Here is a 14,257-nt window from a genome sequence, read left to right as displayed (position 1 = left end):
ATTTGGTTAAAAAAAAAATCTGTGTATAAGTAGACCTGTGCAGTTCAAACCCATGTTGTTCAAGGGTCAACTATATACTTTTTTCATGGTCTTCAGTAGTGACGTCATTAATGACAGACATTTATTAAAAATAAGGGGAGAACTCCAAAGTAGCTAATGAGATGTTTGGCTTTTCTACATAGTCTGTTTATGGATGGCTCAAATACTGATTAGCTTGATGTAAGTGTTTGTGAAGCAGTTATAGTTTCTCAAAATTGAATAGATACCACTATACTGCAAAAATAATAGAATTGATTTTTGACAAGGCTGCTAAGGTTGTAGACTACTAAATGGTAGTGAGTTTCTTTTTCCTTTAGTTACAGAATTGTGCTGTTTAGTAATCACTAGCTAATATCAATTCCTTTCTTTAAATACTATCAGGGACATTATAACAATGTATGATATGGGAATATTACTGATGCCCAAACATCTTGCCAGCCAAAAATGGAATCTCTTTTTTTAGCCTAGCTGTGTATATTTGAGTGGAAAAGGAAACACCCTACAATAGCTTTGCTAGGTGTTAAATAGTAATGTAATTATATTTCCTATAATACAGCAATATAGTCACCTTTATAAAAACTATATTTATAAAACATTCTTCCTGATCTTACCTTGTGTTTTAAACACATAGATGATTTCGTATTCTAAAGTAGTTAGAAGAATTGTAATGTTCCCAACATAAAAGGTAAATGTTGAGGTGATGAATATCTTAATTATCCTGATGTCATCATTAAACACTGTATACATGTATCAAAATATCACACATACCCTCCCAAATATGTACAACGAATAAGTTAGTGAGACACATACGCTTTTTATAAATATTTTTCTTTTGAAGGATTTTACTATGGATTGTGGAATTTGTTATGCTTATCAACTTGACGGTACCATTCCTGATCAAGTGTGTGATAATTCTCAGTGTGGACAACCTTTCCATCAAATATGCTTATATGAGGTAAAAAATAAAAATATTGTCAAGACTTTTTTCCGCTAACACAACATAGGAAGTATTCCTGTTTGAAATACACAGAATCTAAAATCTGTTGAGTCAATAGTGATCCTCTCTTTTGCCATTAACTCCTTTTACCAGTTTATTCCAGATGCTTATGTGCTTCATTTCTTCATCACAGTTACTAATGAGTGGAGAAATGTTCTGAAGTATCCAAGGGAGAAAATCTATCCAGAATATATTCATGGACTAGCTTATTGACACATAACAAATTAAATTGATGGTACATTGGAATCTTTCTATAAATTCCTTGTTACCACAATGTAAGCTTCATAGGTTTACCCGAGGTGGAGGTGGTTGAAAGTGGCAGTAATACAGTGAAAATGAAATTAGTACTATGTAGTATCTATTACTTTTCAGGCTGCATTTAAGAATAGAATATATCCAATACTACTACTTTTCATGTTGAGAAGAATGCCTTTTGTGATCTGAGTCTCACAGCACTCAGGCAATGCCACTTTACTTACTGTATGTGAAGTCTACTTTCATTCCTGTCTTTAGTGCCTGGCTTCACCTTAGGGCCTAGTTGATACATGATAAACTGTGTGTAACTATATACAGAACACCTTGCAATTGTATGTTGCCTTCGGTTTCAGTCTTCCTTAATATCACATCTTTACTTTTGTGATTAGAGGTAGCAGTTGGTGCCGTCTGTACTTTGCCAATGGAGAACTTAGGCAGAGGCATCTATTTACCTTATATAAAATCATGAAATTACAGAAATACAGGTCAAATTACAGAAATACTCTAAGGGAACATGTGATTTCTTTTGTAATTATGAATATTCATTTAATTTTTAAAAATTCACTGGCTCATGCTTATAATCAATGGGTTGAAAATTAACCCACTGTTAGTGATTCAGACCAGAACTAAGAGGGAAATTTTCAAGAGCCTGTAGTATCTTTAACAGCAGGAGTTGTTAATTTGTGATTAATGGATTTAGGGAAAGTCTATGAATGCCAGGAACTTAGTATGCATTATTTTTATGTATGTCTATTCTGGGGATAAAGAAAATGCGTAATTCTTATCAGATTCTTAAAGGGGCCCATAATCTGGTTATAAACCAGTGGTTTAGGCCTTCAATTCCATGTTGATTTCCCTTGTTACTCAACATCTTAATAGTCTGCTATTGGCTCAGGAAATACATCCCTTACTCTTGCAAAACAAAATTAAGCTAAGTCTTCTGGAATAAAAACATAATGCACTTAAAAACAAAGGGAATGACATTTGGAGTATCTGTAATTTGTAATCATGCTGACGCTTCTCCTTTATCTTTTAAAATTTGCAGTGGCTGAGAGGACTACTAACTAGTAGACAGAGTTTTAACATCATATTTGGTGAATGTCCATATTGTAGTAAGGTAAGCAAATTGTTAATCACATCTCATAAAATGTGCCTAGCTTTCAGTAATATGTTCTAGAAGATAGATCTATATAGTATATCAGTTTATCTAAAACTTTTGAAACTCATTCTCTGTATTTCTATTTTTCAAATTCTCTGATCAAAAACATTAAACTCCTTTTCTAGATTTCCTAGGTGATCTGAAACTTCAGAAGTGTTTTCCAAACTGTACTATGACACTATTCTATGACACTATTTCTAGTACAAAGCAATTTTATTTTTTAGAGTGTCCACAAACTTTGTTAAAATATGTTCTCTTTTTAAAGCCAATTACCTTAAAAATGTCTGGAAGGAAACACTGAAATAAGAATACAACATTTCGGTGAAGAGCTGGAAACTTAAAAAATTATCAAAAGGAATTTTGGTATCATCTTCAGAGAAAAAATAAAGCAAGAAATACTAACATCAAAAGGACAGGTATGATGATGCGATAATAATAAACATCTGCGTTTGTCTCTTCACTAAGAGTAAACTGGGAAATTGTAGGCCAAAGTCCAGTTGAACTTTCTAAGTCTGTGATCCCCGTGCTGACTGTGGAAGTGTATTTATACCAAGATGGAGATCTTGACTTCTTGAATATATCTGGACTGGTAAAATCTTGATGAGGCTCATAAAATGAGTTTGGGAATTGTGTATAGCTGATTTTTTGTGGGAAACTGTTTACTTCATTCAAAGGTTCTTGAGACTCTTGATATTTCTGTCTTCTCCTTGTGCTTTCCTATGGAAAAAATACATATATAGTTTAGTTTGTTAGACGTGAGTTATCCAAGTATTTATTTTGTGTAGTGTGTAAGAATGCTAAATAAAATGTTATACAAGATCAAGTTTTTGCGTGTTATTTTTCCTGAGAAGTAATTTTTAGGTAAAGATCTTAAAGATTTACACTTTTTAAGAGTTTATAAACATCCAACAAGCAAATCTGGATATAATTTGAGTGGTTCTTTTAAACCACGTCAGTAGGCCATCTCTTAAGTAATTTATAATCTAAAAATAAATAGGATAGAATATGAAAACTGAATTTTCTTGGCAAAACCAAAAAATTGGGCTTAATCTTAAGGGGGTAAGATAGCCATAATTAGAAATATTTTGGTCATTAATGTGATTCTTTCTTTACCTTCTGATTCCATGGCAACTGAGAAGTGTCCACTGTACAGTGGGCAAAGGATGAGGCTGTACACAGCCAAAGAAAACTGCCTCAGGGGTAGCTATAGTGTTATGTCTCTTGGAAAGCTATACAGACGAACCAGTATAGACCGAATAGATATTAATATAAAGCAAATTAAGTGGTATTAATATAAAACAAATTAACTGGTTACTTATGCAAGTTTCGGGAGCTACTTCTATGTTTTCATCATTCCTGTTGGCCAAAGTCCCAGGAATCAGTTTCCTGATCACCACTTAACTGGCTGAAAGTCGAGTTTTTCTGCTTTGCTTTGGTGACATCTGGCATGCCCCCTCAGCACCATTTATCAAGTAACTAACTTAGAAGAGAAGAAATTTATAAAACAAAGCAAAATACTTTAAGCTTGTTCACTGTCCATCATTCTCAGAATAGCTACTACCTTCTCAACCTTTAAACTGCCACCCTTCAAACAAACAGCCCTCCCCTTTCTAGATACAGAGTTTTGGAAGTGTCAGAAAGGAGTCCTACATAAAACAAAGGATGTTTTAAAAACTACTAGCTTTCCTATGAAAAAAAATTACTTGAGAGTTAAATGACTCACTTTAGAGTTAAATAACTCATTTTAAACTACTCTTTCTGAGCTAACGAAGTCACATTAATGCAGTTTTTCATAAGTTTGTCAGCTTTATTAACTAAAGTCAAAATAAGTGAATAATTATTCCAGTAGGCCTATAAAGCATAATACAAATAATAATTATGCTATCAAATCATAGAGCAGCATTTACATATAGCTCACATGTGCAAGGCTGGGAGATATCTCCACTTAGGTAAGGATAGAAGTCAAGCTACTATAATTTCCAGAATCATCTACTGTGTAATCTATACACTTAATCTCTCTTGAACATCAGCAAATGACATCATATGGCAAGGCACTCATCAAAGAATTTAACCACCTGTTGTCTTCAGTACACTGAGGGGGTCTGATTAGGATAGTCTATAACAGGAGTTGCCAAAATTTGGCTTGGCTAGTTGCCTGTTTTGTGAATAAAGTTTTATTGGAACAGAGCCACATCAATTTGTTTATGTATTGTCTATGTGGGCTTTTGCACTACAATGGCATTGTTGAATAGTTCTGACAAAAACTGTATGGAAAGTAAACTGAAAATATTTTCTTTCTGGCCTTTTAAGAAAAGGTTTGCTGACCCCTGCTCTACGGCATTATTCTTCGAGTATTAGAAAGCAAACAGATCATCATAACTTGTTAAAATGCAGATCTCATTCAAAAGGTCTAGGAGTATGACCTGAGATTCTGTATTTCTGAGAAGCTCCAGATGATGCCAATACAGCTGGTCTGCACACCCCACTTTGAGTAGCAAAGGGCTCAAGGCAATGCAATAATCTACTGTGATAGAGCATTGGTTCTCAGCCTGGGTTGATCCTGCCCCACAGAGGACATTTAGCAATTTCTGGAGACATTTTGGGTTGTTACAGCTAGGAGGAGATACTATTGACACCTAGTAGATAAGTACTAGGAATGATGCGAAACATCCTACATCACAGGACAGCACCCCCACAACAAATAACAGCTCAGCTCCCAAATGTCAACAGTGCAGCTGTCAAGAAACCCTACATTAGAATAGTTATTAACTTTGAATGCACATCAGAATCGACTGGGAAGCTATGAAAAATAGCAACACTACTTCCACTCTGGCCATGAAAATCTGATACCAGACTTCCCCTTCTGCTGTGAAAACCCATAAATAAATAATAGAAAACAAAATTAGTCAAAATATGTGAAATAACTTAGGGATCTAAAACAAAGCTCAGGAAGGGAAAATAACACAGACCTAAGAAAGGCCACAATTTAAGATTTACTGCAGACTAGGCCAAAAAAGCCTGAACAGAACTTATAAAATGATCAGGTTTAGTCACCAGTAAGTTAACTGTCTGCCAGAACTAACCTCAAAACTCTTTAAAGGAATGCAATAAAATCTGGAGTCTAAAGACCACAGCATCCACAATGTTCAGTATACAATAAAACTACTACAAATGAGATGCAGGAAATGTGACCCATAACCAGGAGAAAAAATTAACAGAGATTCAGGGCTGATCCAGATGGTACAATTATCAAACAAGGACTATAAAACATCTACATAAATATGTTCAAGGAATTAAAGTTGAACATAATTAATGAACAGATATGGGGGAGGTGGAATCTCAACATACAAAGAAATATACTTGTGGAACTGAAAAATACAGGGTATAACATGAAAAATTCATTGGCTAGGTTTAACAGCTGATTTGACAATCAACTAGAGGTCAGGCAAAAACAAAACAAAACAAAACAAAACAAAACAAAAAAAACACCACCACCCAACCTGAGGTACAGCAACATAAAAGACTGATTTAAAAAAATAGTTATTTAGCTGCCTATGAAAAAGGTAAAGTATTCTAACATGCATGTATTTGGAACTCAGAGAAATAAGAGAGATTAAGGCATGAAACAAATTGATGAAATCATACAAAACCTTTCCAATTTGAAGACAAATATCAACCCACAGATAAAAGCAGCTCTACGAACCCAAAGCACAATAAACAAAAGACAGCCATCCTTACAAAACCAAAAATAACAAGCAAATCTTGAAAGCCACAGAAAGAAATACATTATAAATGGGCCAATAAGAATAACTGCTAACTTCTTAGCAGAAAAAAAAACAGACCTATGAAGATGGAAACATCCTTTTTAAAGTTCTGAAAGAATAGATTCCATATTCAATGAAGCTTTCAAAATCAAAGTGAGGGGCATCCAGTTATAGACAAGAAAGAGTAAGCATCCCACCTTATTCTGGTAATTAAAGAGTGGACAAAAAGCACCTATCAAAACACTGAAAATTCTAAAAATGACCCTCCCTTGAGTCTCCACCCGCCATGTACTTTAGTACCTCCTATTACCCCAGCCTGGGCCATAAAAGAGCCTGCGTTCTGGAAACAGCAATATGCACAGACTGGAAAAAAAAAAAAACAAACATGAAAAACATGCTCTATGTAACCAATAGCCCTGGGGGAGGACAGGTCTACAGGACAGAATCTTTTTATACCTGCTGAACCCTAGGTGAACACCATGAAAGAAGCTGTACCTTACTTCTCTCCAGGTGCTGTGGAAACGGGGCGGCGGGGTGGGGGGGATGGTGGGGGCGGTGGGGAGGTGGCAAGGGTGGGGTGAAGAGGGAGGGTACAGTCCTGTTGAGTATCATCACCCTACACTAACCAGGGAGCACACCTACCCTTCCCCCATCAAGCACTGTGGAGACAGGTAGAGCCCTGTTGACCGTCCTCACACTAACAAGGTGATACCCTATCCCACTGGGTGTTAGGGAAATTGTGAGATAGAGCTCTGACAACCTTTCCCAGCCTGTACTACTGAGGTGGTCCCCCTTCCTTCCCACCAGGAGACTACCAAAACTGTAAGGCAGAGCCATATAGCCTGTTCCTCCCTGCACTAACACAAGCAGATGTGGTACCTGTCTTCCTCCCCACCAGACACTGTAGAGACCGTAGTAGAGAGCTACCAACCTTCTCCACCTTGCACTGAGCAAACATCAGAGCAACAGCAACCCTCCACTCTGGCCTCAGAAACTGGAGAGGCACTTGCCCTTTTGACCGTGCCTGCTGTGCATTAAACAGCAAAGAGTTGGCATCGCACATCTCCCTAACTAGAAAGCTCTGTTCTCAGTAATTGATATAACTACTAGAGTGAAAATCAGCAGGAATATAAAATAAATCAGTAACATCACAAGATAATGGGATCTAGCTGATATTTATAGACTACTTCACCCCCAAACAGGAAAATACATGTTCTTTTCAACTGCAACTGGAACATTCAACCAGGCAGACCGTCATATCCTATCCATAAAACAAACCCTAACAAATTTATATTGTTAGACCATAATATAATTAAACTAGAAATCAATAACTGAAAAAAAAATCTTCAGATACTTGGGAATTAACACATTTCTAAATAAGGTATTAAAAGTCTCAAGGGGAAATATATTTTGAAGTGAACAAAATTGAAATGTATAAATATTTACAGGATGCAGTACAAACAGGGTTTAGCAGGACACTTATAGCATGGAATACTTACATTAGAAAAAATAGTGGGTTCAAATCAATAGCCTAAGCTTCTACCTAAACTGGAAAAAAGGGAAGAAAATACACCAAGATCAAGATGAAGGAAAGAAATAATAGGAAAATCTCCAAATGCTTTAAAATTTAAAGACCCCTTTAAATGGGTCAAAGAGACCCCAGGAAAATTAAAAAATACATTGAACCGAATGGAAATAAAAATACAACATATCAAAACATGGGACATAGCTAATGTCATGCTAGAAGGGAAATTTATAATACTAAATATTTGTACTAGAAAAGACAAAAAGTCCCAATTTAATAATCTGTTTGCACCCCAAGAAATTATAAAAAGAAATGACAAGTATGTGACATGATGGATTTGTTAATTAGTGTGAGTTAAACATCCCACAATGTAGACATATATCAAAGCATCACATTGTACCCCATAGATATGATATATACAATTATATTTGTCAAAAAAAGAATTAAAAAAAAAAGAAATCCAAAGCAAGCAGAAAGATAGAAATTAGAGCAGAAATCAATAACATTGGCAATTAAAAAATACAGAATGATCAATCAAAAGCTGGTTCTGAGACATGACCAATAAGAATGACAAACTAGCAAGACTAACAGGGAAAGAAAACACAAACTACCAGTATCTGGGAAGAAACAAATATCACTACAGACCCCACAGGCATTTAAGGGATTTGAATAAAGGAATAGTATGAATAATTATACCAACAAAAATTTGATAGCTCAGATGAAATGGACCAATTCCTGGAAAAATCACAAATTACCAAAACTAACTCAAGATGAAATAATAAAAATGCAAGAGATAAATAGTTGTGACAAGAGTCCATATGACCTGCAAAACCTAAATTTTTTACCATCTGGCTCTTTACAGAAAAGTTTGCCTACTCTTGAAATAAATATCTGAATAGTCTTACTAAAGAAATTGAATTCATAGCTAAAAAGGAATCTCCAGACCCAGATGGTTTCACTAGAGAATTCTGCAAAACGTGAAAAAGAAACAGGATCAATTCTATACATTTTCTTCCAGAAATTAAGAAGAGGAGGAAGGCTTCTCAACTCATAAGGTCACCATTACCCTGATACCAAAACCAACAAAAACAGTAGAATAAAAAGATAACAACAGACATCAGCTCTCATGAGCACAGATGTAAAACTCCTCATTAAAATACTAGCAAATTAAATCCAGCAACATATAAAAAGAATAATATAAAATGACGAAGTGGGGTTGATTCAAGGAATGGAAGACTAATTTAATATTCAACCACAAACCAGTGTCATCCACTATGGTAACAGTCTAAAGAAGAAAAATCACATGATCATATTAATTGATACAGAAAAAGCATTTGACAATATTCAGCACCTATTCATGATGAAAACTCTTAGTACATTAGAAATGGAGGGGAGCTTCCTCAACTTTATACAGAACATCTATAAAAATGTCTACAGCTAACCTACTGAATAGTGAATGGACAAAAACTGGAAAGAAACCAAATGTTCTTCAATGGTATATCCATACTTCAGATTACTACTGAGCAATAAAAAGGAATGAACTGCTCATGTACACAAAACTTGGATCGATCTCAAGGGCATGATGACGAATGAAACAAAGCCATTCTCAACAAGTTACATATCATAAGATTTGATTTATATGATACACTCAAAATGATAAAATTACAGTGATGCAGAATAAACCCACTGCTTTCTGAGGATTAGGATTGGGAAGAGAGTGTCACTATAGCATGAGCAATTCCTACGTGGTCATGGAACAGGTCTGCAGGATAATTGTGGTGGTTACTCCATACATGTTATAAAATATCTAAGGAACACAGACATGCACGAGTACATGTCAAAATTGGTGATATCCTAATAAGGTCTGTATTTTATGGTAGTATATGAATGTCAATTTCCTGCTTTGTAAAATTATATTATGGTTATGTAAAATGTTTTCATTTGCAGGAGTTGGGTGAAAGGGTAGGTAAGGGTATAGGGAGGCTGTATGTATTTTTGCAATTTCGGAGTCTACAGTTACTTCAAAATAAACTGTTAAAAAAATGCAGAAATAAAATATAAATCCACCACTACAAAAAAAAATGCAGGTGAAATACAAATATTTTCAGACAGACAAGAGGTGACAGAATTAGATTCCAGGAAATATATACTATGATAAATGTTAAAGGAATTTGTTCAGGCTGAAGAGAAATTATACCAAACTAAGATCTATTGAAGGAATAAAGAATTTCAGTAACTGTAAATACTGGGATATGTTAAGACTTTTTTTCCTTTTCCTTTCTTAATTTTTTTAAAATGAAAAATGGCTCCTTAAAGCAACAATACCAATGCATTCTGAAATATATTACACATGTAAAAGCAAAACGTATAACAACAATAGCACAAAGGATGAGGGATAAAGGGAAGTATATATTTTTAAGGTTCTTACACATTAAGTCAAGATAGAATGTAATATGATCAGTTAAATGTGCACATGGTAATTTCTAGAGCCACGCTGTCTAATATGACTTGACCACTTGAAATATGGCTAGTTATAATTGAGATGTGCTGTTACTATAAAATAGACACCAAATTTTGAAGACTTTAGAAAAAGATGTAAGTATCTCAGTAATATTATTCTGATTATACCATTGTGGATACTGGTTTAATCAGAGGACGTTATTAAAATAGATTCTACCTGTTTCTTTTTACTTTTTGAAATGTGGTTAGTAGAATTTTTTAAATTGCATATGTGGCTTGCATTATATTTCTGTTAGGCAGGATTGTGCTGAGCAGGGATTTGCAAACTTGTTTTGTAAAATGCCTGAGAGTAAATATTTTAGGCTTTTTTGACCATACAGTCTCTGTTGCAGTTAGCTCTGCCACTATGGAACAAAAGCAATCAAATACAATATGTAAGTGAATGAGTATGGCTATGTTCCAATAAAACTATTTACAAAAATAGGTGGTTGGCTGAATTTGGCCCATAGGCTATGGAGCTGACTGACCCCTTGCTCTAGAGTGACCACCAAAAAAAAAAAAAAAAAAAAAAAAAAAAAAAAAAAACAAGCATAGAAGCATAGTTAAAAAAAAATTCTCAATCAGTCCAAAATAAAGCAAGAGGGAGGTAAAAAGGGACAAAGAACAAATGGGGCAAAAAGAAAGCAAACTGCATAATGGTAGATTAAACCCAGCTATATCAATAGTTACCTCAAATGGAAATGGAGCAAATATAGTTACATGAAATAGATATGGAGCAAATAAAAGATAGTGTTTGCCAGATTTTATAAAATAGCGAGGCTCAACTATATGCTAGTTACAAAAGCCACAGATAAAAAGACACAAGTGGATTAAACAAAGGATGGAAATGGATACAATGTATAAATGTTAATCATAGGAAGGCTGGAATTGTTAAAAGTCAGATGAAGTAGAACTCAAGATAGAGTATTTAATAGATATAAAGAAAGATATTTCAGAATGATGAACAGGACAGTTAACCAAGAACATATAACTACTATCTGCATATACCTAATAACAGCATCAAAATCTATGAAGCAAAAATGTATAGAAGCAAAAATGTATAGAAGAGACAAATGGATAAATTCACAATTACAGTTGGTGATTGTAACATTCCTTTGTCATTAAATGATAAAACGAGGACAAAATAAAACAGTGAATATATAAGATTTGAACACTATTAAACAACCCCAAACTTCATAAGTATACAAGGAACATTCACTAAACTAGGCCTTTTCCTTGGTGACAAAATAAGTTTCAGTGAATTTTAAAAGATTGCAATAATACAGGATGTGTTCTGATGACAGCAAAATTAAATTAGAAATCAATAACAAAAAAGATACCCAGTAAACCTTAAAAATACTTAGGAATTAAATAACATACTAATAAATAATCCATGGGTCAAATAAATCAAGGGACATTAGAAAATACATTGAACTGATTAATAATGAAAACACAACACATCAAAATTTGTGAAATAGACAGCCAAAGCACAGCTTACATATTTATAGGTTTAACTATATACGTTAGAAAAAAAATGAAGGAAAAAATTAGTGATTTAAACTTTCACCTTATGAAGCTTGAAAGAATAAATTAAATGCAAAATAAGTAGAATCAAGCAAATGATAAAGAATTAGTGAAACAGAAAACATATCAATGGTAGGTTTTTTTAAAAAAATCAACAAAACCAAAGGTTGGTCTTTGAAAAAAAAAAAAAACTAAAAAAAAAAAACCAAAGCTGGTCTTTGAGAAGATCAATGAAAATGATAAGCCCTTAGCTAGACTACTAAAAAAAGAAAGAAACCAAAAGTTACCATTATCAGAACTGAAAGAGGGACATCAATATAGATATTGGTGATGATAAAGGGAAAATAAAGAATATCCTAACTTAGTGCTGATAAATTTGAAAACTTAGATGAGATGGACAAATTCTTTGAAAAATACAAATATAAAACTGACCCAAGAAAAAAAATCTAATGATCACTCTATATATTATAGAAAGTAAATGTGCAGTTAAAAAATTTCCTACAACAAATTATCAGCCCCGATGGTTTTCTTGCTCAATTCTATCCAACATTTAAGAAAGGCAAATCTTACAAAAACATTTTCTGAAAACAGAGTGCAACACTTCCAACTGGTATAATTCATAATGACCCTGAAAACAAAACCATACAAGGATATTACGACAAAAGAAAATTACAGCTGCTCTGTGAAGTAGCCATCCTTTTATTCCTTTACTTTCTTAATAAACTTGCTTTCACTTTGCAAAAAAAAAAAAAAAAAAGAAAAGAAAAAGAAAATTACAGACCAGTATCCCTCATCAGTCTAGGTATAAAAACCTTCCATGGAACTGAAATTCAGCAGGAATTGAGTTGGAATTCAGCAAACAGAATTCAGCAGGAAAACACATCATGCCTAACTGGAGGTTTATCCCAGAAATAAAAGGTTGATTTAACATTTAAAAATCAGTGTAATTCATCGTACTAGTAAAGGGAAAAAATCATGTGATCATCTCAAAAGATCTCAAAACAGTATTTAATATTCATTATTTACATTTATTTTTCAACAAATATGGTGAAATTTCCTCAGCCTGATAAAGGGCATTTAGAAAAAATCAACAGCTAACTTAATGGTGAAAGAATGAATGCATTCCCCCTAAGATCAGGAACCAAGCAAGGATGGCCACTGTCACAACTTCTATTCAACGTAATACTAGAGCTGCTAGCAGATGTAATAAGACAACGATAAAAAATAAATAAAGGGCATATATTGGAAAGGAAGAGGTAAAACTGTCTCTATTCACAGACATCATTAACTATGTAGAAAGTCCTAAGAATCTATTTAAAAAATAATAAAACCTATTGGAACTAATAAGTACATTTAGAAAGATCCCAAGACACATGATTATATTGTATATCAAATATAACTGATATAGAAATAGAAAATAAATTCTATTTCTATATACCAGCAACAAATAACTGGAATATGAAATTTTGAAAATTACTACTTAAAATGGGATCAAAAATATTTAGAGATAATTTTAATGGAAGATGTATAGACATCTACACTAAAAACTACAAAACACTGTTGAGAGAAGTTAAAGAAAATGCACATAAATGCAGAGAAGTTCCACATAAATGCAGAGAAGTACCAGGTTTATGCACTGGAGGAGTCGACATTGTTGGGATGCCAGTTCTCCATAAACTCATCTTTACACTTAATGTACTCCCAGTCAATATCCCATTGTGCATTTTTTGGTGGAAACTAACAAGCTGCTTCTTAAATTTTATGGAGGAGACTAGGACCTAAAATGGCCAATACATTTTTGAAAGAAAATAAAAGGATTAAAGAACTATTCTAATTTCAGAACTTGCTGTAAAGCGACAGTAATTGATGCAGTGTGGTGTTGGTGTAAGGAGAGACAAGTAGAATAGAAGAAAATAGAGCCCAGAAATAGGCTCACACACACAGTTAGCTGACTTTTGAAAAGGGCTCCAAAGAAATTCATTAGGAACATCTTTTCAATAAATGATGGTGCAAACTATATGAAAAAGAGAACCTCAACCTCCACCTCACACAATACACATGAATTGATTTGAGATGGCTCATAGAACCAACAATGAAAGCTAAAACCATGAGCCTTGTATAGAAATATATAGCAAAATAACTTTGTGACCTTGAGGTAGGCAAAGGTTTCTTAGGTATCTTTACAGAAAAACAAACAAACGACAAAAAAACTATTAAAATATTGATAAATTGAACTTCAAATAAAAAAACAAATAATATAAAAAGCTTCTGCACATCCTAAGATACTATGAATTAAATGATTAGGCAGGCCGCATGCTAGGAGAGGATATCCATAATACAGATATCTGATAAGGACTCCTGTGGCTTAACAATAAAAAGACAAATATCCAAATAAAAATTAGAACACTCGACAAAGAAACTTTGTAAGAACAGATATATGAAAGGTCAGTAAAAACGTGAAAGTGCTCAAACTTAATTAGACATCAGGTGAATAA

General features: G+C 33.7%; 2 protein-coding genes across 35 annotated transcripts in view; one reads left to right on the top strand and one right to left on the bottom strand.

Moving 5' to 3' along the window:
- Positions 1 to 3,273, top strand: part of FANCL (FA complementation group L) — an 82,138-nt gene extending 78,865 nt beyond the window's left edge. For 9 of the 19 annotated variants that reach the window (XM_047444853.1, XM_017004416.2, XM_047444855.1 and 6 more), the window contains 2 exons: positions 878 to 994; positions 2,337 to 3,269. In XM_047444853.1, the coding sequence (XP_047300809.1) occupies positions 878 to 994; positions 2,337 to 2,468 (249 nt within the window). In that variant the 3' untranslated portion in view covers positions 2,469 to 3,269. Of the gene's footprint in view, positions 1 to 877; positions 1,065 to 2,336 lie in introns of those variants that run through there. The other 10 variants (NR_156742.2, NR_164659.2, NM_001438892.1 and 7 more) reach the window with 4 other exon arrangements.
- VRK2 (VRK serine/threonine kinase 2) overlaps positions 2,596 to 14,257 on the bottom strand; it is a 252,329-nt gene continuing 240,667 nt past the window's right edge. For 9 of the 16 annotated variants that reach the window (NM_001288836.1, NM_001130480.2, NM_001130482.2 and 6 more), the window contains one exon: positions 2,596 to 3,167. In NM_001288836.1, coding sequence (NP_001275765.1) covers positions 2,823 to 3,167 — 345 coding nt within the window. In that variant the 3' untranslated portion in view covers positions 2,596 to 2,822. Of the gene's footprint in view, positions 3,168 to 7,713; positions 7,763 to 14,257 lie in introns of all 16 variants that reach the window. The other 7 variants (NM_001288837.2, NM_006296.7, NM_001288839.2 and 4 more) reach the window with 4 other exon arrangements.

Source organism: Homo sapiens, chromosome 2 (assembly GCF_000001405.40).
Source record: "Homo sapiens chromosome 2, GRCh38.p14 Primary Assembly".
Taxonomy (NCBI): Eukaryota; Metazoa; Chordata; class Mammalia; order Primates; family Hominidae; genus Homo; species Homo sapiens.
This window is presented reverse-complemented; position numbering and strand designations above follow the sequence as displayed.